Genomic DNA, 24,160 nt, shown 5'->3' with positions numbered 1-24,160 from the left:
ATCAAAGAGCCTATAACCATTTTCAGCTCAAATACACATGTACCTGAATTTCAAAAGTAATAAAAACTGCAATTTAGAAAAACTCTTCCAACTGAATTTTGAAGACAAAAGCATAACCATCTTCAAATAAATGGAGTAACATCCGATGTTCATGGATAAAGACAAGAATATTAGGATGATACTACTCCCCAACTGATACATAGATTCAACACTATCCTCATCAAAATTCCAGCTGACTTATTTGCAGAAATTTGACACTGTGATCCTAAAATTCATACAAAAAGACAAAGAACCCAGAATGGCCAATCTTGAAAAAAAAAAAAAAAAAGTTGGAGAATTCACACTTTCTGATTTTAAAACTTACTACAAAGTTACAATAATCAAGACAATGTGGTACTGGCATAGGAGAGAAACATAGATCAGTGAAACAGAACTGAGAGTCCAGAAATAAACCCTCATATTTATGTTCAATTGATTTTCAGTAAGGGTGCCAGGACAATTCAAAGGGGAAAAAACAGTCTTTTCAACAAATGGTGCTGGGACAACCAGATATTCACATCCAAAAGAATCAAGTTGGACCCTTACCTCACAACATACATAAAACTTAACTCAAAATGAATCAAAGACCTCACTGTGAAAGCTAAAACTATAAATCTCTTAGAAGAAAACATAGACATAAAACATTACAACCCTGGATTAGACAATGGTGTCTTAGATATGATGCCAAAAACACAAGCAACAAAAGAAAAAAATAAATTGGACTTCATCAAAATTTAAAACTTTTGTGCTTCACAGATACAATCAAGAAAACGAAGACATGGCCAGGCGCGGTGGCTCACGCCTGTAATCCCAGCACTTTGGGAGGCTGAGGCACGCGCATCATGTCAGGAGTTCGAGACCAGCCTGTCCAACATGGTGAAACCCCATCTCTATTAAAAATACAAAAACTAGCTGCGCATTGTGGCAGGGACCTGTAATCTCAGCTACTCGGGAGGCTGAGGCAGGAGAATCATTTGAACCCAGGAGGCGGAGGCTGCAGTGAGCCAACATCTGGCCACTGCATTCCAGCCTGGGCAACAGAGCGAGACTCTGTCTCAAGAAGAAAAAAAGAAAATGAAGACAACTCACAGAACAGGAGAAAATATTTGCAAGTTATATCTGATAGGGGATTTATCTCTTGCATATTCTGTATAAAGAACTTCTACAATTCAATAATAAAAAGGCTAGCCAATTAAAAATGGGCAAAGGATCTGAATAGACATTTCTCCAAGGAAGAAAAACAAATGGCAAAAAAACACATGAAAAGATACTCAACACATCACATCACATCAGCCAACAGGGAAACACAAATTTTTAAAAATGAGATATTATCAGCCGGGCGCGGTGGCTCACGCCTGTAATCCCAGCACTTTGGGAGGCCAAGGTGGGTGGATCACGAGGTCAGGGGTTTGAGATCAGCCTGACCAACATGGTGAAACCCCGTCTCTACTAAAAATACAAAAAAAAAAAAAAATTAGCTGGGCGTGGTGGTGGGTGCCTGTAATCCCAGCTACTCAGGAGGCTGAGGGAGGAGAATTGCTTGAACCCAGGAGGTGGAGGTTGCAGTGAGACGAGATCATGCCACTGCACTCCAGCCTGGGCGACAGAGCGAGACTCCGTCTCAAAAAAAACAAAAAAAACAAAGATATTATCTCATACCCCCTGGGATGGCTATAATCAAAAAGACAAATAATAAAAATAATAACAAGTGCTGGCAAGGATGTAGAGAAATGAGAATCTTCATACACTGCCGGCGGGAATATTACACGGTACAGCCACTCTGGGAAACAGTTTGTCAGTTCCTCAAAAAGCAAAGCATAGAGTTACCATATGACCCAGAAATTCCACTCTTAGGTACATACCCAAGAAAAATGAAAACATTTAAGAACACAAACTTCTACACAAATATGCACAGCAGCATTATTCTTATAAGCCAAAAAGTGGAAACAAAATAAACGCCCATCAACTGATGAACGGATTAATGTGATATATATGTATACATATATAGTGGAATATTAGTAATAAAAAGAAATGAAATACTGATACATGCAACTGCTGGGATAAACTTCAAAACATTATGCTAAGCAAAAGAAGACAGTCACAAAAGACCACGTATTGTATTCCATTTACAAGAAATGTCCAGACCAAGCAAATCTATAGTGGCAGAACAATTTGTGGGTGGTGGGGACGGTAAGTGACTGCTAATGGGAACAGGAATAGAGGATGATGAAATATTTAAAACTGATTGTGGCAATGGTTACACAAGTCTGAATACACTAAGAATCACTGAATTGTACACCTGAAATAGGTGAAATGCATGGCATGTAAACTATATCCCATTAAAGATAGTAAAAAGAGAATCAGCATTTTCATATTTCAAACAGGTGCATTTTATGTAAATTGTACCTTCATAAAATTGATATACGAAGGGAAAAAAGTCGTTTTCTAAAACCATTCCAATAAGCAGAGTATACATGTGATAATAAACCCAGTGTCCATGAAGCCTGATAATAGTGTCTCCCATTTTGCTCTACTCCATGCATATAAGTACATTACCCTTCTACAAATGCATCCAGTTTAGCCAGTTCATCTGACAAGCCAACCAAGACATCCAACGTGCCAACCTAAAAGGAAAATATATTGTTATTTAGGTGGCATGCTTTTTTAAAAAAAAAAAACAAGATGATTCATCTTGACCTAAAGTTCTCACAAATCTTAAATTCTCCCTATTTTATTTCATAATGTGTAAGTACAGTTAAAAGATGTTTGCCAGACATTTCAAAGCTATTTATATGTACAAGATAATCCTTTAATTCATGGTTATAAGCACCACTTAAGACTTGAAGACTCCTCAAAGACAGGTCTGTGCTTGTACTATTCAATGACACTGGATCATTTGAAGTCTTAGTTTACAACACAGGCTCTTAAGTAGGAGGTCCACGGATGTGCGCTAGAGGGTCTGTAATTAAATTTGCATGCAAAACTGTGCATAAGTGAGTACGTTTTGGAGGAAACATCTTGTCTCAAAGGTATCCGTAACTCCAAAAATATTAAAAATCGGTCATTTTATTGCATTTATTATTTATATTTTTGAGACGGAGTCTCACTCTGTCTCCCAGGCTGGAGTGCAGTGGTATGATCTTGGCTCACTGCAACCTCCACCTCCTAGATTCAAGCGATTCTCTTGCCTCAGCCTCCCAAGTAGCTGGGATTACAGGTGCCCACCAACATGCCTGGCTAATTTTTGTATTTTTAGTAGAGACTGGGTTTCACCATGTTGGCCATGCTGGTCTCAAACTCCTGACCTCAAGTGATCCGCCCACCTCAGCCTCCCAAAGTGCTAGGTTTACAGGTGTGAGCCATGATGCCCCACCAAGAATCAGTCATTTTAAATATTTCTTAAATGAATGCTGCCTACGACTCCCTCATTCAGTTAACCAGCAAAATGTCAGTATCATGATCTTTTCCATTCTTTACAAATGTTCCATCAACTGATTACTGGACACCTGCTTTACTTTGAGGCTGCTAGATGACTGATCTTTGATAAGAGTGAATCTTACATAGATTAACCGGATTAAATAACTGGGTTAGATTTGCCAAGTGTGATTAAGTAGGTGCCATGGTAACACATTTACAATGTAAGAATCAGCATAATATAAATTTACTAACAAAAACTTCACTATGATATTTAAGAATATATATTACTAAGAGTTTTAATTTCTGAAAATCATATTTGTGAATGTAACACATCAAACATTTTCATAAGATTTTTCATTGCAATTTAGAAGAGCACAAAAAGCCTAAGTAGAGAGACATTATTTCAATTTGGTAGTTTACTTCTAAAATTTCAAAGAAGACACATTTTAAATCATGCCAATGGCTGGAGAGGAGGTTTTCTTTGGAAGGAACCTGGGTATCTCATTTCCACTAAAAGAGAGAACTGGCCCTCCCCTGGATGATGAACTCATATATAATTTTGCACAGTGCAGCTTCACCTTTAAGTCAGGAATATTGAACTTGGAAGTGACAGCAAGATTATTGTTCTTTGAAGTTGCCGCATGCAATTTCTCCCATGTTTGCTGACAGGTTTTCTCCCCAGGAGCAGATATAAGCCAGAACTCAGTCATGTTTGTTACTAGGTATTTCCTCAAAAATCAAGAGAGATTCTGAAATGTAAAACAAATAAAAAAAATCACATTTAAAATCATTTGTTTCTAAAGTGTTTCAGAATCATAGGAGAAGTTATAACATATAACCTGTTTCAAAACTAATCTAATGTTGGCATAGGATCTCAAGCAAAGTGAAATTTACCTACCTCGAAATAAATCTACACAAATGGTGAAAAAACGATTTATTTATGATACTAGGAAAGTGAGGTGATAAAAACCTAATATGTGAAGTACCTACTTTTTTTCATTATAAAACATCCTTAACGGGAGTTAGCCAAGAAGTGAGATTACCCAAAATACCAGCCACCAATAGTTTCCTTCAACCAACAAAGCTGGAGAGTTACAAATTTATAGGTTTATCTTAAACTTTTTTTTTTTTTTGAGACAGTGTCTCACTCTGTCGCCCAGGCTGGAGTACAGTGGCATAATCTCAGCTCACTGCAACCTCCGCCTCCCAGGTTCAAGCGATTTTTGTGCCTCAGCCTCCTGAGTAGCTGGGATTACAGCCATGCACCATCACACCCAGCTAATTTTTGTATTTTTAGTAGAGACAGGTTTTTGCCATGTTAGCCAGGCTGGTCTTGAACTCCTGGCCTCAAGTGATCCACCACACCCAACCTATCTCAAACTTTTAAAGCATACAACCAAAATAGGAAATTTAAAAAAAGAAAAAAAAAGCATAACTTTTATCTTGGAGAAAGAATTTAATTGAATCAATGCATTTATAAACAGAAGTCACCAAATAAATTTGTCACATTGGCTTAGCAAATCCTACATGGCTAGTAAATTTGGTGGTTAATTCTAATCCATAGTCAACCTAGAGAAATCTCCTCAAATCTTTGATGCATAGACTTAGTTGCCATCGAACATTTACAAATCTGAAAAAAAAAAAATCTTGCCAATCTGCTTGGCTATTTTAAAATATAGGGAGCTGAGAGGGTGGCGTTAATATAACATTTTTGGATCTGAGAGGCAGGCTGCAGTTCTCCCTTTCCAAAGAGTCCCATTAAGATTCACCTAACCCTCTTCTATAATCTCTTTTCCTCCTCCTCCTCCTTCCCCTTCCCACACACACAGAAGGGGGAAAAAAGTACAGAGACAAATCTATTCAGAATCTAGGTAGGTAAAGCACATAAACACAAATGATAAAAATCAAAGTATTATGGTATCATTATTTCCATTTTAATCTGCCTTCATGAGAACCAACATAAGCTTTCTGCTAACACTGCTTATTTAACCTCTCCTGAAACTAATATTCAATGTCTCTAAATTGAATATAACTATCTTACAAAGTTGTCCTGAGAACAAAATCAGATAATTAATGTGAAAAGAGTTTATAAATGTAAATTTCCTTTAAAATGTAAAGTATTATAGTTAATAATGGACTTTCATAATTACAGTAGTCCTAAAATTTAATTAAAGTACCTACTTAAAGTACCTATGAGTAGGTAATCAATGCTACCTTCTCACTACAATACCATTGAAAGTGAACTTAACATAGATGCCATCCTATATACTTGTTAATTTTTCTAACTACTGTTTATAGAGGATCTACCATATAAAAGGTACTGCTTTAAATGCATTATTATCTCAATTCATCTTCCCAACACCTCTACGAGGTAAATATCATGCTTCCCATTTACAGATAAGAAATGCAGGTTAAACCTGGTACAGATGCAGACAGTGGTATTAAATGAATGTTAAGAAACTATATTCTAGAAAAAAAATTTTAAAAAAGAAACTGTACTGTATATGGACTTTTCTAACATTACTGATGAAGTTAAACCTTTATCAGCTCTACCTACACCTTCTCAAATGAAAGAGCTACACTTTCCCAAATGGCCAACAAGCTAAACACAAGCTTTTTAGTGACAGCCCGTCTGGTCAGAGAACAGCACAGCTTAACTGGCCATCCAAGGATGGAAGCTACTCATAAGCACCATGCTCTAATGAGGCCATCCAAAGATAAGTTTTGATTTCAAAACAGAAGCAAAAGCAAAATCTTCATTAGCCTACCCAAGAAACTTCAAATATTGAACTTTAAGGCTATTATACTATCATATTCTTTTCCAATCTGATTTTTTCATTCAACCTATTTTTAGAATTATCCAGTGATCATTAATTTTAATTGATATATGGTATTCCATTATATGAATAAACTAAAATTTATTATCTGCTTCTTCCTGGAATGACTTAAATTGTTTTTACTTTTTTGCTATTATAAACAATTCTGCTGTGAACAATGTGTACATATCTCTCTATCTGTGAAAGATTTTTTCTGGGATAGATAAAAGTAAAATAGCTGAATTACAGGATATGTCTTCAAAGATGGAGGCGAGATGTCTTTCCATGCTCCTATGCAGTGTGACTTTGCCACTCCTTCCATCAAAAGGTGGAGCTGGCCTTGTGACTTGGTTTGACCAACAAAACGCATGGAAGCCACACTATGCGAGTTCAGGGCTCAGACCTCAAGAGGCCTTGCGTCTTGGACCACTGCCCTCAGACTACCACATAAGGAAGTCTATTGCAAGTGATAAGGCCACATGTAGAGAACCAACAACCAGCATGAACCACCAGACATGTGACTGAGGCCATTTTGAGCCCTCCAGCCCAGCCAATCTCCCAGCTGAATGCGGCTGCATCAATGAGTCCAGGCAAAACAAGCAGAGGGACTACCCCAGCAACTCACAGAATTAGGAGAAATAAGAAATCACTGTTTTAAGCCACTAAGTTTGGGGTAGTTTGTTGTGCAGCATGAGACAACTGACACAGACCACTGCCAACTCTTTTGGGTATTGCCAAATTGTTCTCCAAAGCCCCTACCAACTTAAGTTCCTGCCAGCAGAGTAAGAGTTTCTATTTCCACAACTGAAAAACACATAATAGTATATAGTGTTCAGAGTTATATATACTTACAGAAAATACTAAAATATGCATAGGAGAAAGGAGCTTTAGTTTTGTAGGTAAGATTTCATTTAAAAAATCAGGCAAATAGAGCAAAATATTCATACTTGCTAAATCTGCATGGATGACATAATTGGCAATATTTAACATTTTTCTGTATATCTGAAATACTTCAAAACTAAATATTTTTAAAATTTTTATGAGAATGTATTTAATTTACAAGTTAAAACATAACATTGCATGGCAAATTTATTAAAAATAAAATTTTAGTGAACTTTAAAATGGATATTCAGAGAATAATCTAGATACCAAATTAATCCTCAAAGTACAACCTTTTTGTTTTACACCTAGTAGAAATGCTTACTAGTTTGTTTATATCTTCTTATGACCAAGTATAATACATTGCAGACAATGCTTTTAGAGTTTGGGATTTATTTTAAAAGTATTTTTGGATCCTGAGGCAGGAGGATCACTTGAGCTCTGGAGTTCAAGATCAGCCTGGTCAACATAGCGAGACCCTGTCTCTCTTTTTTTTTAATTATTTTTATTTTTAAAAAATAAATTTAAAAAAGTATTTCGGGGGTCAATATGTCCAACAATCTAACTGCATAATGTTGCAAGTGTGGGAGTTCAGGCTACACCTGTACTAACTCCAGAACCTATCTCAAGAAGTTGCTTTTAAAAATAAATCCCTGCTGAAATCTCGTGGACCTATATCCTGTCTTCTTGTCATCCTGTCTCTGTTCTTCACAACACCTGGATCACATCACCACCTATCGCCGGTTGCTTCCAGTTAATACTCTCGCACTTAGCGAATCTAGCTTTTTTAGCACAAACTGTCTCGAACTTTAACATTTTCAGTTATTAGAAAATCTAATAGCATCTTTAAACCTCTTTTTGTAATCCAGATCTAAGCGATCGTGGTTTCTGGAAAAATTGAGATTTTATTATAATAATTTTATGCAAGTGGTTTTCTGTTAGTATATCAAAGGATACATTTTTATACCTCCTCTCCCCCCAAAATGGCAGGTAATAAAATCAACTGTTAAATTCTTCCTGATGATTGTGCTAAATTATCTAAACTGCAGCTTCCTCAAAGATTGTAATAATACAAGCTATTACAGTAGATGTCACTATCATACTACTTAGAGTTCCAGAAAATCTTTTCTTCTAACAGGCTTCCAAAGGATTTCAAGGAATAGGAAAGAGGACCCCATTTCTCATCTATAAATAATACCTGCCCTATCTACTTCACTGAGCTTTTATTAGGATCAAAGGAAATAATGTCATGATAAATTCTGATCAAAACTACAGTCTAAAAATATGATAGAAGTTCTCTAATTTAGCTTTTAAAAAATTTATTTTTTGTAGAGATGGAGTCTTGATATGTTGTTCAGGTTGGTCTCAAACTCCCAGCCTCAAGCAATCCTCCTGCCTTAGCCTCCCAAAGTGTTGAGATTACAAGTGTGAGCCACTGTGCTCATAATTCTAGCTTTTAACTGAGACCTCCCTAGAGCCTAGGTGTTGGAAGATGAGGAGGAAAGGAAGGAAAAGGTGCCTTCTAAGTCTGATGTTGTGCTTTTCACTTCTCATACATCATTTTATTCCATTCTCACTACAACCCATGAGATAGGCAGTAATACACAGAGAGGTTAGTAGTTTACCCAAGGCTGCACGACTGGCAGATGGGGTTCAAATTTAGTTGTGTTTGACTCTAAAGACCATGTTCTCTCTATTGTGTCACACTAGGAGAAAAGATGTTCTGTGCTCTGGTGCACCTGGGCTCTCCTATTTGAAGAGAAATCCACATGTAAGCTTCAACACCTTCACCCTGTTTGGTTCCAGGCTCAGGGCACCCTGTTGGTCCAGTGAATTCTGATAAAGGGATCCAAGCTTCCTTTCCTTGTTCCCTTCGTCCAGGATCATCACAATTTCTAAAGTAGCATCACCCAGCATCCAAAACTATCCTACCTTCTAGAAGGAACAACGATTCCTCCAAACGAAAGGACACACACACAAAATTCGAGATTCAAAGTATACTTTGAGACTAGAGATCAGATACTAGAGATTCGATGGACCTGCCAGATCATGGAGGAAGGAACACAAACTTTGGAGTCCTGCAACAGTTAAAACTCTGACTCTACCCCCTTACTAGTTTCCTCATCTGTAAAGTGGGAACACGACACATCTTTTCACCCAGCTGTTGGAAAGTATGAATAAAATAATGTACCTAGACCTTCCCCTTTCCATGCGGCCGCCCTTCCTGCGGATGATTGTATTAGCTGCTGCCCCACCCCATCCTACCTCCCAAGACTCTCCCCCGTATCCCAGATGAGAAATATCCTTTGCTTACTTATACTTTATAAATGCCCCTACTACGCACTCATCGTATTCTCCCTCATTTTTATAACATATTTTCCTCTCCACCTTACTGAGAAATCCTGAAGAGCTAGAATCATATCTTCTTCTCTGTGAAACCCTGAGAGCCAGAATACACTAAATTCCTGGCAATAGCAGGGACTTAATAAATGCCTGTTGAATTAATAAATAAAATTCAAATTCAAATACAACAATGATGGAACCAATCAAAACGTCTGATTTAGAGATAAACGCAAAAAAAATCATGTTTTTTAAAAGTGTTTTTTAGTCTTCCAGAAAACCCTTATTTTACAGTAAAAATTAAAAATTGGTAGAGTTGCAGGTTCCTAAGTAAGCCTTTGTCTTTTATGTCAAGGGTGAATAAAGTCAAAAATATAAAAAAGAGGGTTTGATAAAGAACCTATCTGTACTTCAGGCAAAGCCATGGCCTCAGTTCTTCTACCCCTCGTCAAAGCAAACTAACTCTAAGTAAAGAGCCTAACAGGAAAGACAAGCTACTTAAGTACCTAAGGAGGAATGTAACAACTTCCTATGACAGTTAACATCATAAGTATTTTGCAAAATCTGTTTTTTCCATTTTTAAACTATGACCGCTCTCAACTTGTCACTTACACAAGTCAGGTAAAAAAATTTCTCCTTGAGGCCAGGCACAGTGGCTCACACCTGTAATCCCAGCACTTTGGGAGGCTGAGGCAGGCAGATCACCTGAGATCAAGAGTTCAAGACCTGCCTGCCCAACATGACAAAACCATGTCTTTACTAAAAATACAAAAAAATTAGCCAGGCATGGTGGCATGCGCCTGTAATCCCAGCTACTCGGGAGGCTGAGGCAAGAGAATCACTTGAACCCTGGAGGCAAAGGTTGCAGTGAGCCAAGATGGAGCCACTGCACCCTAGCCTGGGTGACAGACCAAGACTTCATCTCAAAAAAAAAAAAAAAAATTATCCTTGAAATTTAAGAACAATTTAAGTTTAGTTTCAAACAAAATTTATCTTTGCAGATGAATATGTATGTCTTTATTCATCGGAAAATGGAATCCATATTGCTAAACATATTTCCCTTTTTCTCTCAGCTGCAAGGAAACAAATTGTCAAAATTAGTGGCCATTTGTTATCAACTTGCCAAGAACCTGACACCACCTTCTCCACTGCTTGTTTTTACTCGTAATTATTTCCCTTTATTTTATCTTGAATACGAAGGAAGTCAGGCCTAAATGTAGCAAAATCATATGCTAAACAGAGGAGATGATGATCAAAAAGGCACCCTGATTAAATCGTAGTTTCTCAAGGCTCAGATCCAGGTCTATGTCCTTCTTCTCTTTCTGCGTGTGTGTGAATGTGTGTGTATAGCACCTTTCTTGATGATGATCTCTACAGTTGAGGCAATTCTAGTCTAGATGCTGGACACTTTCTGAAATGTATGTCTCCAGCCCAGGGCCCTCTGCAGCATCTAGAGTTGTACTCAACCAGTATCCACATCTGACTACAAGACATTTTCCACCTGAATGTCTCAAAAGCAGCTAAAACCCAACACTTCTAGTCAAACTTATCATCTCTTCCCCAATATGTAGTCCTACTCCACTGTTCCCTGAGTTAGTATAGGTGTACCCCTGCAGTATTAGACAATTAGAACTGTCAAATGTTCATAGCAGCCAACACTTACTGGGCACTTCCTATCTACTAGCACAAGTCAAAACACTTCACGTGTATTAACTCACTTAGTAGTTAGAGAAACCCCATTAGAGGGGTAGTAGTTACAAAGAAACCAGGGCACATAAAGCATCTTATATATTATACAAGGTATATTATGTAGTATGTGTCTCATTATATATCATATGACAGCATATATTATATGCTAAGGATGAATGTATTATATGCTCTCATAGAACCTTCTTTGTAGTATTTCTCTGGGGGTGGGGGAGCACTTTTTACTAGTATCTGTCTTTCAAATAAACTGCCCAGGACGGTAAGTGGAAATCATGATAGTTTTTGCTCACCACTTTATCCTCAGTACCTGGCACAGAGACCAGCATGGTAGAATCTCAGAAGATATTTGCTGAATATTCTTCAATAAAAATTACTGTGAGGATTAAATGAGATAACATCAAGCACCTGGATTATAGTTGGTTAGCTTCCCTCACTTCCCGTTTTTTCTATAAAATCAACTTTATTAAAATATAATTTATATAGAATTAAATGCACCCATTGTAAGAGTTTGATGAGTTTTTGACAAATGTATACACCTGTGTGAGCACTGTCAAAACCAAGATTAAGGACACTTCTATCATCCCCAAACCTTCCCTCACACTCAGTCCAGTCAATCCCTATCTCACTGCCAGCCCTGGGCAAATGTTGGTCTGCTTTCTGTTACTATAGATTAGTTTTGCCTGATCTAGAATTTCCTTGTAAATGGAAGCATGCATTAGATACTCTTTTGTACCTGGCTTTTGCTCAGCAAGTCTTTGATATCTGTCCGTGTTGTATGTATTAGTAGTTCAATCTGTTTTATTACTTAGTATTCTACCACATACATCTACTATAGTCTGTTCATACATTCACCAGTTGATGAACATTTGGATTGTTACTACTGGTTTGGGACCACTAAGAATAGAGATTCTATGAACATTCCTCTACAAAGCTTTTTGTGAAGATATATTTTTCTCTTGGATAAAAAATTCTAAAAGTAGAATTTCTAAGTTGAATGATCAATGTATATTTACCTTTATAAGAAATTGGCCAGGTGTGGTGGCTCACACCTGTAATCCCAACACTTTGGGAGGCTGAGGCAGGTGGATCACTTGAGGCCAGGAGTTCGAAACCAGTCTAGCCAACATGCTGAAACCCTGTCTCTACTAAAATTACAAAAATTAGCCAGGTGCGGTGGTGCAGGCCTGTAATCCCAGCTACATATGAGGCTGAGGCACAAGAATTGCTTGAACCCAAAAGGTGGAGGTTGCAGTGAGCCATGCCACTGCACTCCAGCCTGGACAGCAGAGTGAGGAAAGAAAGAAAAGAAAAAGAAAAAGAAAAAAAGGAAGGGGAGGGGAGGAGAGGGGAGACTGACAAACTGTTTTCCAAAGCAGATATATAACATTTTATACTCCTATTAGCAAAGTATTCAGCCTCCAGATGCTCCACCAACACTTAGTGTTCTTGGCCTTTTCATTTTTAGCCATTCCAGTGGGTTGCAGGGTTATGTTGCATTTCCATGATGCATTTCCATGCGGACTAATGAAGTTCAGGAGCTCTTCATGTTATTTGCCATTTGTATATTTTCTATTCAAGTCTTTTGCCCAGTTTTTAAAAAACTGGATTCACTTATTGAGTTGCACAAAATTTTTATATGATCTTGACACAATTTCCTTGTGAAATATATATACATATTTACATATTTTCTCTCATTCTGTGGCTTGACTTAATGATGCTTTTGAAAAGAAGTTTGCAATTCTGCCAATGTCCGATTTATCAGTTTTTGGGTTTTTTTTGTTTTTTGTTTTTTGTTTTTTTTTTACAATATATGCTTTCTGTAGCATGTGAAAAACCTGCCTATCCCAAGGTCACAAGTATTTACTCTGCTTCGAGTTTGTTGAGTTTCTTGGATCCATTCATAGTTTTCATCAAATTTGAAATGTTTTCAGCCATTATTTTTCCTCAATTTTTTTTGCCTTCACTTCCTTCTTTTGAAACAAGATCACATGTATGTTAAACCACTTGATACTGCTCCACAGGTCACTGAGCTTTCATTCATTTTTCTCAGTTGTTTTTCTCACTGTGTTTTACTTTGGATAGTGATATAGTTTGGATGTCTGTCCTCCCCAGATCTCATGTTGAATAAACCCCAATGTTGGAGCTGGGGCCTGGTGGGAGGTGTCTGGGTCATGGGGCAGATCCCTCATAAACGGCTTGGTGCCCTCCCTGTAGTAACGTTACCTTGAAATCTGATTGTTAAAAAGAGAATGCCCTCCCCATAGTAAGAAGTTATCATGAGATCTGACTGTTACCTTCCCCCTGACTCTTGCTCCTTCTCTCACCATGTGACACTCCTGCTCCCCTTCCCCTCTGCCATGACTCAAGAGCTTCCTGAAGCCTCATGAGAAGCTGAGATCCGGATGCCATGCTTGCACAGCCTACAGAACTGTAAGCCAAAAAAACCTCTTTTCTTTATAAATTACCCAGTCTCACAGATTCCTTTATGGCAACAAATAAGACTAACACAGTCTCTTGCTGTATCTTGTAGTTTGCTGACCTTTTCTTTGGAGTATCTAATCTGTTATTCTTCTCACCAGTGAATATTTCACTTCTTATGTATTTTTCTGCTTTAAGTTCCATTTTTAAAATATCTTCCATTTCTTTCCTCATTATGTTCATGTTTTCTGTTAAAACACTGAGCATATTTGTAAAAATGCTGCACTGTGTATCACTGGACTTTGCTGTCTTCCTTTTAAGAGTGTTGTACTTTGTTGTGGTGGGCAGGTAAGTTAGGGGAGGATCAGCTTGATCCACCCAAGGCTTGTTTTCAAACATTGTTAGGATAGATCTAAGGCCTTACTCTAGGGCTAACTTAGTCTCTGATACTAAGGTCTAACCTTTTGGGGATTCTATTGAATGTCCCAGGTATTCAATAAGTTCTCTCTCCCATATCTGGTCAGAATTCAAATGCCTCCCAGCACCATAAGCTCTGGCAATTCTTCAGTTTAAAGCTCTCTGGTCATTCTTTGTTAGATCTCCTGCAGAGACCCCCCCCATAAGTTTCTGGTGTTTATTTCTCTGCCTAGCTCCCTCTCTCTGTCAATCCCACCTGCAAATTCCAGCCAGATAAACCTTCCCCAAGTCCAGTCTCCTCGACTCAGCAAGACCAAGATGCTCTGCACGGGTGTTCCCTTCCTAAAACACGGTGCAGAGAGTGTCTACAGGAAAAAGCAGGAGGAATTACACAGCTCATTTCCTTTCGCTCAGCTCCTGTACTGCCTATTGTCCGATGTCTGGAAGCAGTTTTTTAATATATCTTGTCCAGATTTGTAATTGTTTATGGTGGGAAAGCAAATATGGTACCAGTTACTCCATCGCAGACAAAAACTGAAGTCTCATCTGGTTTTGTTGTATGTATTATTCACGAGTGTTCGGTTTTTCTAATTGTTCTGATTGTTTCTATGCAGGGATTCAGCCACAACCTCACAGCCTCTCTCAGCCCCATGTTTTAACATTTAACAGAAAACAGGACTGACAACAATAAATGCCAAAAATTTACCAAATCTAGGCTAAAAGACTGGAGTACTACTGTGTTTGTGAAAAATGGAACACAATGAACATGTATTGCTTTTGTACTAACAAGGAAAAATGTTCATTTTTGTTTAAAAAAAAAAAACAGCTGCAGCTTGAATAAATGTCTCCAACATTCACTTATGTGCCATTAATTTGCAAATGTATGGCGTGCTATCTTGATAAGTAAAACATGAATTTATTTAAAAGCATTAATAGGCTAGGTGAAGTGGCTTCACACCTTTAATCCCAGCACTTTGGGAGGCCAAGACAGGTGGATCACTTGAGCTCAGGAGTTCAAGACCAGCCACGGCCAACATAGTAAAACCCTGTCTCTACTAAAAATACAAAAATCAGCTGGGCATGGTGGTGCATGCCTATAGTCCCAGCTACTCAGGAAGCTGAGGTGGGAGAATCACTTGAACCCGGGAGGCAGAGGTTGCGGTGAGCCGAGATTGTGCCACTGCACTCCAGCCTGGGCGACAAAGCAAGACTCCATCTCAAAAAAAAAAAATTTTTTTTAAATAAAATAAAGCATGAATACAGCTGTAACAATTTGTCATCATTAATAAAATATCTAAAATATATCTTAGATATACTACATCATCTATTTCTAAAATAATCTAAAATAATTACACATCACATGGGAGCCCAAGAAAATTCTGCAGATGAGAAACAACAGATGGGCTGGGTGCAGTGGCTCATGCCTGTAATCCCAACACTTTGGGAGGCTGAGGCGGGTGGATCACCTGAGGTCAGGAATTCAAGACCAGCCTGGGCAACAGGGTGAAACCCCTTCTCTACTAAATACAAAAATTAGCAAGACACGGTGGCACGCATCTGTAATCTCAGCTACTTGGGAGGCTGAGGCAAGAGAATCGCTTGAACCCAGGAGGCAGAGGTTGCAGTGAGCCAAGATCACGCCTCTCACTCCAGCCTGGGTGACAGAGGGTCTTGAAAAAAAAAAAGAAGAGAGAGAGAGAGAAAAGAAGGAAGGAAGGAAGAAAGAACAAAAGATAGACAATTTCTGGAACACAATTTGGCAATATTTATCAAAACCCACAAAATGTGCATATCCTTTGGCCTAGCTATGCCGATCTTAAGAAAGAAAATAAGGATATGCATAGGTATAAACATTAAATTATAAAAAAAAAAACTGTCAACAATTATCTCTTGGGAGTGATTATGAATGTTTGTTTTCATCCTTTCTGTATATTTTTTTCCTAATTTTTAAATAATAAATTATTACATGTAAACACAAACAAAAAAATGTCCCACCGCATCCTTATTAGGGCAGTATCCTCATATTTGAAAACACTGAAAAGTTTAGAGACCATTAAATGGCATCATAACAAAGAGCCCTGGAGTTCATACAAAAGAGAAGGGCAAAGCTGGTTAATTGTAGCTACTTCTGAAGATGTGATCAAAGTTGGTAAACGGCCCTTTTACCTCACTGGGAATCATAGTCAAAGAAAACCCAAATGTCAATTTCAGGAAGCACAATGTAATCGCCAGAGCACTGCGCTGAGGATATGAAGACTTGGAATCTAATCCCAGTTCTGCATATAATTGTCTGCATAAATGTCTTCACTTGTAAAATGAGAGGATTGGATTACAATATCCAGGATCCTCTTCTGCTCCTATACTCACTACCTGAACCTATACTAGGTGAGGCCCAGGATTCTTTTTTCCTATTTTAAGTCCCTCAGGTAATTCACCCAAATTTCAGAACCACTGTAACAAGACAGGCATTTCTATGATTATACAGTATATTTAATGTTACAAGAAATGGCAATACTCTTGAAGGCTATGGACAGAAGGCTGAACAACTCACCAAAACAGACACCCCTAGTCCTGCTTCTTTCTTGGAAACAAAACTCAAATCTGCCAATCTTCACTGTCATCACTACTAGCATCCCTGTCTGAGTTTTTCTGCCTTATCCTCGCATTCCTCCTGAGCTCTCTTTATCCATCTTGACCTCAGGCCTCCTTCCCTTTCCTACCCTGCCTTTGCTCGTTTCGCACAAAACAAATTTCTCTCTTCCAGTTTAAGCCAACCCAAGCCTCCCTTAACAAAATGATTTTCCCAACTAAGTCCATCCATGCACCAAACCTGTTACTATAATCCCACTACTTCTCCCACATGTCTACTTACACTCATGTCATTAACAGCATTAGGCAGACATCTATTTTATGTTTTGTCACACATCTCATCTGACTGTAACTGTTCTCAATTAAAGCTCTTATTCATCTCACAAAATATTTTGGGTACTTAAGTTCCCAAAACTGTAATAGACTCTGAGAAACAAAACAAACAAAATGTAGACCCTGTCCTCATGGAGCTTACAATTGGGGGTGGGAGAGGGTGGCAGGTCTTACGAGCAGGCAGGTCTGTGTGTGTGCAGGGAGGGTGGGAGGAAGACTTCATGTAGATGTCAAGACAGAAAAAAACACTGAAGAACATAGGGAGGCACAAGGGAAACACTAGTCAATTCTGTAGGCACTTCTATTTTGTCTGACTGCAATAAGTGTGCTGCTTAAAAAAAAAAGTAACAATTATTTTTCAACATGGAAGGGAAAAAAGTGGGAGGAAAGGAGAAAAAAAAAAAACCCTAGATCCAAAGCTATGGGACTGTTAATTTTATTTACTTTATCTCCCACTTCTGAGAGTTTGAAGGCTATGGATTATTTTCCTACCACAATTGATTTGCATATAAAGACAATAAAACAATAACTATTACAACATAAAAGGTGAGGGGGGGTTGGTTATAAGCCTGAACAAGACATCTGCTGGCACTGCTTCTGTGAATGGAAGGTATGGGATTGACCCAAGATAGGGGCAACCACAGAAAACAGTACCGCACTCCACTAAGTGCTCCGACACTTAACTGATTTCAATGCTTTCAAGAAAACCAAACCGTGGTCTCTGAAATGCAATCACCTTTCACAGTAAATTAAATTTCACAATAAATTAAGCCTAGAAGGTGGTCTCCATGCAAAACAACTTCCTTTTCAGTACTTGAAAATACCAAGTTTACTAAAGCAGCTTATTTTAAGAAGCACAAGAAGGCATACCTCAGCTATCAGTGAAATATCACATAGCCTTCCAAATGTGCACATCAACTTTTAACAGAATTGATCTGTGCGAAACATTTACCACAATCCACTCAGTTAAAAAGTTGCCACATCCTACCCTAGAAATCACTAACACCATACATATAAAAAGTAAAAATAACTGCTTCCTCTTTGAATGTAAAAATTCTATCCTTCGAAACAGAAGCATCTTAATTGGGATTGTGGGAGGGGCTTGCTCATAATACAACTTGTTTAAACATTTTCAGTAACTAGAAGGGGGATTTTACCTTTCAAGGAATACGTCCATGATTCATACGAAATGAGATTTTAAAACTGTCAGAAAATATGCCTTTTTATTTTTTTTGGAGACGGAGTCTCACTCTGTTGCCCAGGCTGGAGTGCACTGGCGCGATCTCGGCTCACTGTAACTTCTGCCTCCTGGGTTTAAGCGATTCTTCTGCCTCAGCCTCCTGAGTAGCCGGGATTATAGGCACGAGCCACCATGCCCAGCTATTTTTTGTATTTTCAGTAGAGACAGGGTTTCACCATGTTGGCCAGGCTGGTCTTGAACTCCTGACATCAAGTGATCCGCCCGCCCTTTGCCTCCGCTTCCCAAAGTGCTGGGATTACAGGCGTGAGCCACCACACCCAGCCCCGCCTTTCTTAAATAAATCTTAAATATTCCGTGTTTTGTTTTCAATGGAAACAATACCCATAAATGCTCTATAATCCTATTAAAACTACCATAATTTCTTGCCATAAATATACTTAAATATGAAAGGCAATTTAATCTTTATTAGACTCATTTTATCAACTACAATTTTTTTATTCCACATTTGCCTAGAAAGCAATCTGTAAAAGCAAAGCCTTACTTTCACACAGATACCTATCACAAAAACTGGAAACACACTGTGACATTGTGGAGTGGGGGCTGGGGATGTAATACATAATACAATGTTGGAAAATTTCTAGTAACTTCTGGTAAAGCTACTGAATTGGCAGACATGGCCAGGAGGGCCCTGTCGTACACCCATTACTGCAAGTAATCACCAAAACCTTCTCAGCTTCTAGAGACTCCTCCTCTGCACAGGCAACTCAGCGGTGACCCAGTGGGCAAATAATTCCTTCCATGCCAGGGGATTCCCTGAATCTACACTCATGGCTCCCAAAACATGACTTCCCTTTTCTTCATGGCTGGCAATTTATAATAGTGACTGGACCACGGTACCACATTCTGCTAGAAGGTGCTGATATCTCCAATACAATGTATTTTGGCCTGAAATTCACCAACTTAAAGACTTTAAGATTAGTTTTCTCCAACTCATGACCCTAAGTAAGCTTGAGATTCTGTTTACTGGTAACAACTATCACTGAATATGTACCACATGTTGTGCCCAGTGATAAGCACTTGCATCTACTAAAGCAATTTTGTATTTAATTCCCTCACAAGATGTGTTATCACCACCCCCACTTGCAAATGAGGGAACAGCTGGTGAAATTAGTTGCCCAAAGACATTTAGTGACTACATTTTATTGGGATTAAGGGGACTCTATTTGAGTTATTCATGCAGTTTTACAAAAGACAAGTGCCTCAAAGAAATATTAGGATATAGTTTCAGTAATTTTACACTAAAGGAGTTACATTAAAACATCAAACACTAGATTTTAAATTACTTGAATTCCATTATATGCAGTTTATTAAAATATTACTTTTAACCTCTGTAACCTCAACATCTTAATATTTGTCCAACAAATAAACTGACACCACATGCATGTTTTGCACCAAATGGTGCCTCTCTCCTCCAGGAGGAGTCTGGAAATGTATGGGAGCATTTTGGGTTGTCCCAATGTGGAGATCGCTAATCAGCATTTAGTGGGTAGGGGCGAAACAGACCTCCAAACTGCCAATAGCACCCACATAGAAACACTAAACTATGGGCTGATTCAAAAGGAAAACCTTTCATGGTAAAGTTAAACCACCTGTTAACACGCCTTAATTTACAACTTCCTATTCATTGATAGTCTGTTTAAAATATCTTAGAAGATCCATCGATCCCTTTCTATAAAACATCACTTACCTAGCATTTTATTTTCAAATACACACACATACTCACACAGACACACACACACACACCCCACATTTTAGATATACAGTTAATACTCTTTTATCCCCGATGTAACCAAAGCACTTCTCCTCCACTGCCTACCTGGCTCATTTTTTAACTCAATAAATGCATAGTAACCAAAGCACCTCTCCTCCACTGCCTACCTGGCTCATTTTTTTAACTCAATAAACGCATAGTACATTTGCACATGGTATAATCTTAGAAGTAGATGTCCTGCTGGATAAAAAATTTTGTTTCAGCATCAAGAATATAGTTTGAAATTTCTAGTTCCAAGAATCACTCATGTCAATAGGAAATTTTAGACTGCCTTGGTTCACTGCCTAAGCGTCCCAAGGGCACTATGCTAATGTTTATACTATGTCTGTCTTTAAAAATTGATGAAAAATGGAAATCTAACATGAATTAATTTATAAATGATATATAATTCCACACCCAAAGAGTGAAAAAGATGTAACCTGTAGACAGATTTAAATATGTACAAGAGCAAAATTTTAAGTAGGAGGTACTCAGTCAAAACTGTAGTACTCCTAAGCAGAACCAAGTTCAAAAGAAGACTTGCTGCTTAGGGACGGGTAAACTACATGGAGACCTTTGGCAAAGGTTTACTTTGGCATTCCAGTTGGCCAATGGTATTATCTCGTGAGTTGTGGAAATAATCACAAAATCAGATTTTTGAAGCCCTGAAGTTTCTTTTTAGGTTGAAAAAACTAATGTACATGAGGCTCCTAAGACTAATATACCAAAAAAATAAAAATGAGTATTTTGTGCCAAGTTTTAAAAGCTGAATTACACTATCTAGCTCTCAGCATTTAGTTAGATCCTGAGTACTGTTTCTTTAGATTTTATCTAGTCCCTACAAGGTATACCAAAAGAGAAAAAGATCCAGGACTTCTGAGACAGAACCCTGAGGCTCAGTCTTCAGCATAATTTGAGACTCACTTTTTGCCAAAGAACTGTGATTGACAACCTGAGCACTTTCAGTTCACCTTATTGTTCATTATTTCCTCCAGATGAACTGTAAATTGAACAGCTCTATCCAAGATTATAGATAAGACATAGCCCACCACTGCCAATTCCTTTGAAGCTGTTCTACTAGAAAAAGTTCATCAAAAGTGCTGACTCTTCAGGGAGAAGTTCCCCCCCCCCAAAAAAAAATGCTGAATCAAAGACTACTGTGCACTTCAAAAAACTCGCCCTTTTCTCTAGATGTGACTGTGGTTAGTACTGTGTAGGTAATCAGCAGGAATACATCAGCAGTCAGAAAACTGTGGCAGTTACTCCGGACTCAGCCAAATCACTTTACGTGTTTCTCTAGCTCCAGGTTCCCATCTATACAATGAATAGCATTTTCATCCACTGTCTTTCAAAGAACTGTGAGAACAAAATAAATATGAAAGTGATCCCTCCCTGTAACTATATTTCAATAAAAGATATTCTGAAATAGATGACCTTACAAAAGGATAAATTTGAAAAGCCAAAACAAATTTTTGCAAAAGAGCCTCTGCTATGTACTTCAGGACTGCCTCGAGGGTAGTTACGACTACCCTGTGAAGGGTACAAATAGAATCGAATCATTCTTTCCCTTCCCCAAGTCCTGAACCCTCTAAAAGTGAATACAGTTAAACATTCTGAAGTCCTCAGTGGAGAGAGAAGGTATCTTGTCTTCAAATCCTTCAGTGGATTACAACAATGTTCCCCTGAGCGGGTCTCCCCTCATTCACTTTTGCCACCCTCCACATTATCTCCCCCCCACCAAAAAAAAAAAAAAAAAGCCACAACCTGTCTCAATCCACTGCCTGTAATCTTCACTGGCTTCCCTCTGTTTTTAGAATAAAAGCTCTGCTTGGCGTGACCCCAGCTTTCTCCACCTGCCTCTCTCCCTCCCCGTTTCAGCCATGCTAGCCTTTCAAAAAGGCTGAAAAGCTTTCTTCCTCTTCACATTTCAGGGCCTTGACATACGCTGTTGCTTCAGCCTGAAATGTTCCTTTTTCGTTTTTCAGAGACAGGGTCTAGCTCTGTTTCCCAGGAGGGAGTGCAGTGGCATGATCACAGCTCACTGCAGCCTCGAACTACTGGGCTCAAATGATCCTCTCGCCTCAGCCTCCCGAGCAGCTAGGACTACAAGCACACACCACCACTCCCAGCTAGTTATTTTTTTATTTTTGGTAGAGACGGTGGTCTCACTATGTTGCCCAGGCTGGTCCTGAACTCCTGGCCTCAGGCAATCCTCCCACCTCAGCCTCCCAAAATGTTGGGATTATAGTCACGAGCCACCCTGCCAGGCCTGGAATGTTCTTTTCACTCACACCTTCACATTCCCTTTTCAGTCTCTTTTCAGATCTCAGGTCAAAAGTCATACCCTCTCAGAGCGAGAGGGTATGAAGAATATAAATAAAATTGTTTTAATCTTTAAAAAGTCATATTCTTAGCAATGCCTTTTTAAAATCTTCCATAATACACATGCCCCTACTACACTCTTTCATACCACTGTTATTCCTTCAAAGCACATTTCACGCTTGCTTGATTTTTAAAATCCATCCCCTCTGCTTGCCTGTAAGCTCTATAAAGACAATTTTCTAAACCCTACCATCAGCACTGTACCTGCATACAGCATGTATTCAGTACACATTATTTGCATGAATAAGTAAACGACTACCATTCAAAAGTCCTCGTTACCTGACTCCCAACTTTCTTTCCCACTTCTCCGCAGTGCAATCCACTGTAAAAGCTACTTCTGACTCCACCAGAAGCATTCCCTACCCCCATCTTCAGGCTTTCAAATCCTGTGGCTTTCCCTGCCTGTAAAATTATCCCCATTTCTCTCAACCTGTTCAAATCCTGAGGGCTTGCCAAGACTCAAGTTTTCTTTCCTCCAGAATATCTTCCCATAGTGCCAGTTTACACATGTGTCGTTGCTCCACACTTTCAAAGCACTTCGCATTCTCTTTTTGGTAAGTATACATAAACTGCATCGTATTTTAACGTGTCCTGTGTGTAGACTTTTCTCTCCAACGTTAGTGCTAACTCCTAAGGATAGACTGTTCACATCCCACCCGTTCCATTCCCAGAGCGGCGCTAAGTACTGGGCTCGCACTGAAGCATGTGATTTTTCCCTAACATACCAGAATTTTCCTCTGAAAAGAATACTAGCTTCCCCCTTACTCCTGTTTCTCAAGTGATTCAATATGCCTTATGTGACTCTCACCAAGTTCTTTTCTAGGGGTTTGTTTTGTTTTGTTCTGTTTTGTTTGCCTACCCTCCCCCATTCTACTAAAAAATAGTTGAGTTCTCTGGATTCCTGTTCTTTCTCATTCCTAGAGGGACCTTGTGTACTCTGTGAGGGTTCCTTGCCTGCAGTTAGGGGCTCCTAGGCCTTTAAACTGTCATCCCACCACCCCCGACCCCCGACACCCGCGCCCCCCCCAACACACACCCAGTGAAGGCACTTGCGCTAGCTGTGACCTCACACACACCACTCCATAGCCTCACCTGGACCTATCACTTCATTCCCCTCAATCAATCAGGCGGCGTGCATTCCTACCCAAGAAGAAAGATCCCAGACCGCTGTATCTCTCCTTTCTGCCTGTCATTAACTACCCACGAGAGCTCTTTCTCTTTTTCCCTCCTTCTCTTCCTTAGAGACGGAACCTAGGCCCAAGACGGTGAATTGGCGCCGAGAAACCAGACACAGCCACCCAGCCAGCTCCAGCTCCAACGCCACGGTCTCTGCCCCCGCACCCACCCGCGTCCCTCCCAGGCAGCGACCGGAGCTCATGCTTCGGCCTGACCAGGACTCCCCATCCGGGGAGAGCCATCGCTCACTGACCCAGGAAGGTGTCAAACGAGGAAGTAGCAGCAGTAACAGGTACCGAGGCAGACAGCCTAGCGGACGCTATCGGCTCAGCGATCCATCCCTTCCCGACCTAAGCTCCGGCCTCACGGCTTCCTCTACCCAAGCGAACACAGAACAAGTCACGTGCCAGCCCAGCAGTCAGCTGACCGCGGCGCGCGCTGCTCCGCCTACGCCCGCGCCACTGCGCAGCCGCAGCCGCTGCCACTGCCGGGCCTTGGGAGAGGGGCGGGACTAGGAGGCTACGGGGCGGCAAGGGGACCCTATATTCGGGGCTGATCGCTGTTGTTCCAGAGTGGGTGGGGTTTTCCGCTTCTTCCAGTGTTGCAAGTGGCGTTTTGTCCACCACTTGTAAACGT

At 39.4% G+C, this 24,160-nt stretch overlaps 1 protein-coding gene across 1 annotated transcript in view, besides 1 other annotated feature; it reads right to left on the bottom strand.

The window, feature by feature from the left end:
- Positions 1-23,920, bottom strand: part of ATP6V1C1 (ATPase H+ transporting V1 subunit C1) — a 51,969-nt gene extending 28,049 nt beyond the window's left edge. The window contains exons 1-3 of the mRNA NM_001695.5: positions 23,778-23,920; positions 4,035-4,205; positions 2,596-2,663 (exon numbers count right to left, since the gene is read on the bottom strand). Coding sequence (NP_001686.1) covers positions 2,596-2,663; positions 4,035-4,166 — 200 coding nt within the window. The 5' untranslated portion in view covers positions 4,167-4,205; positions 23,778-23,920. The remainder of the gene's footprint in view (positions 1-2,595; positions 2,664-4,034; positions 4,206-23,777) is intronic.
- Positions 23,481-23,690: an enhancer, noted in NCBI's record as "active region_27786". NCBI's record gives its function as "activates an Ori minimal core promoter by ATAC-STARR-seq in GM12878 lymphoblastoid cells {active_cell/tissue: GM12878}" and the evidence as "EXISTENCE:reporter gene assay evidence [ECO:0000049][PMID:35858748]".
- Positions 23,921-24,160: the final 240 nt, after the last annotated feature.

The sequence above is a fragment of the Homo sapiens genome, chromosome 8 (genome assembly GCF_000001405.40).
Source record: "Homo sapiens chromosome 8, GRCh38.p14 Primary Assembly".
NCBI classification, from domain to species: Eukaryota; Metazoa; Chordata; class Mammalia; order Primates; family Hominidae; genus Homo; species Homo sapiens.
This window is presented reverse-complemented; position numbering and strand designations above follow the sequence as displayed.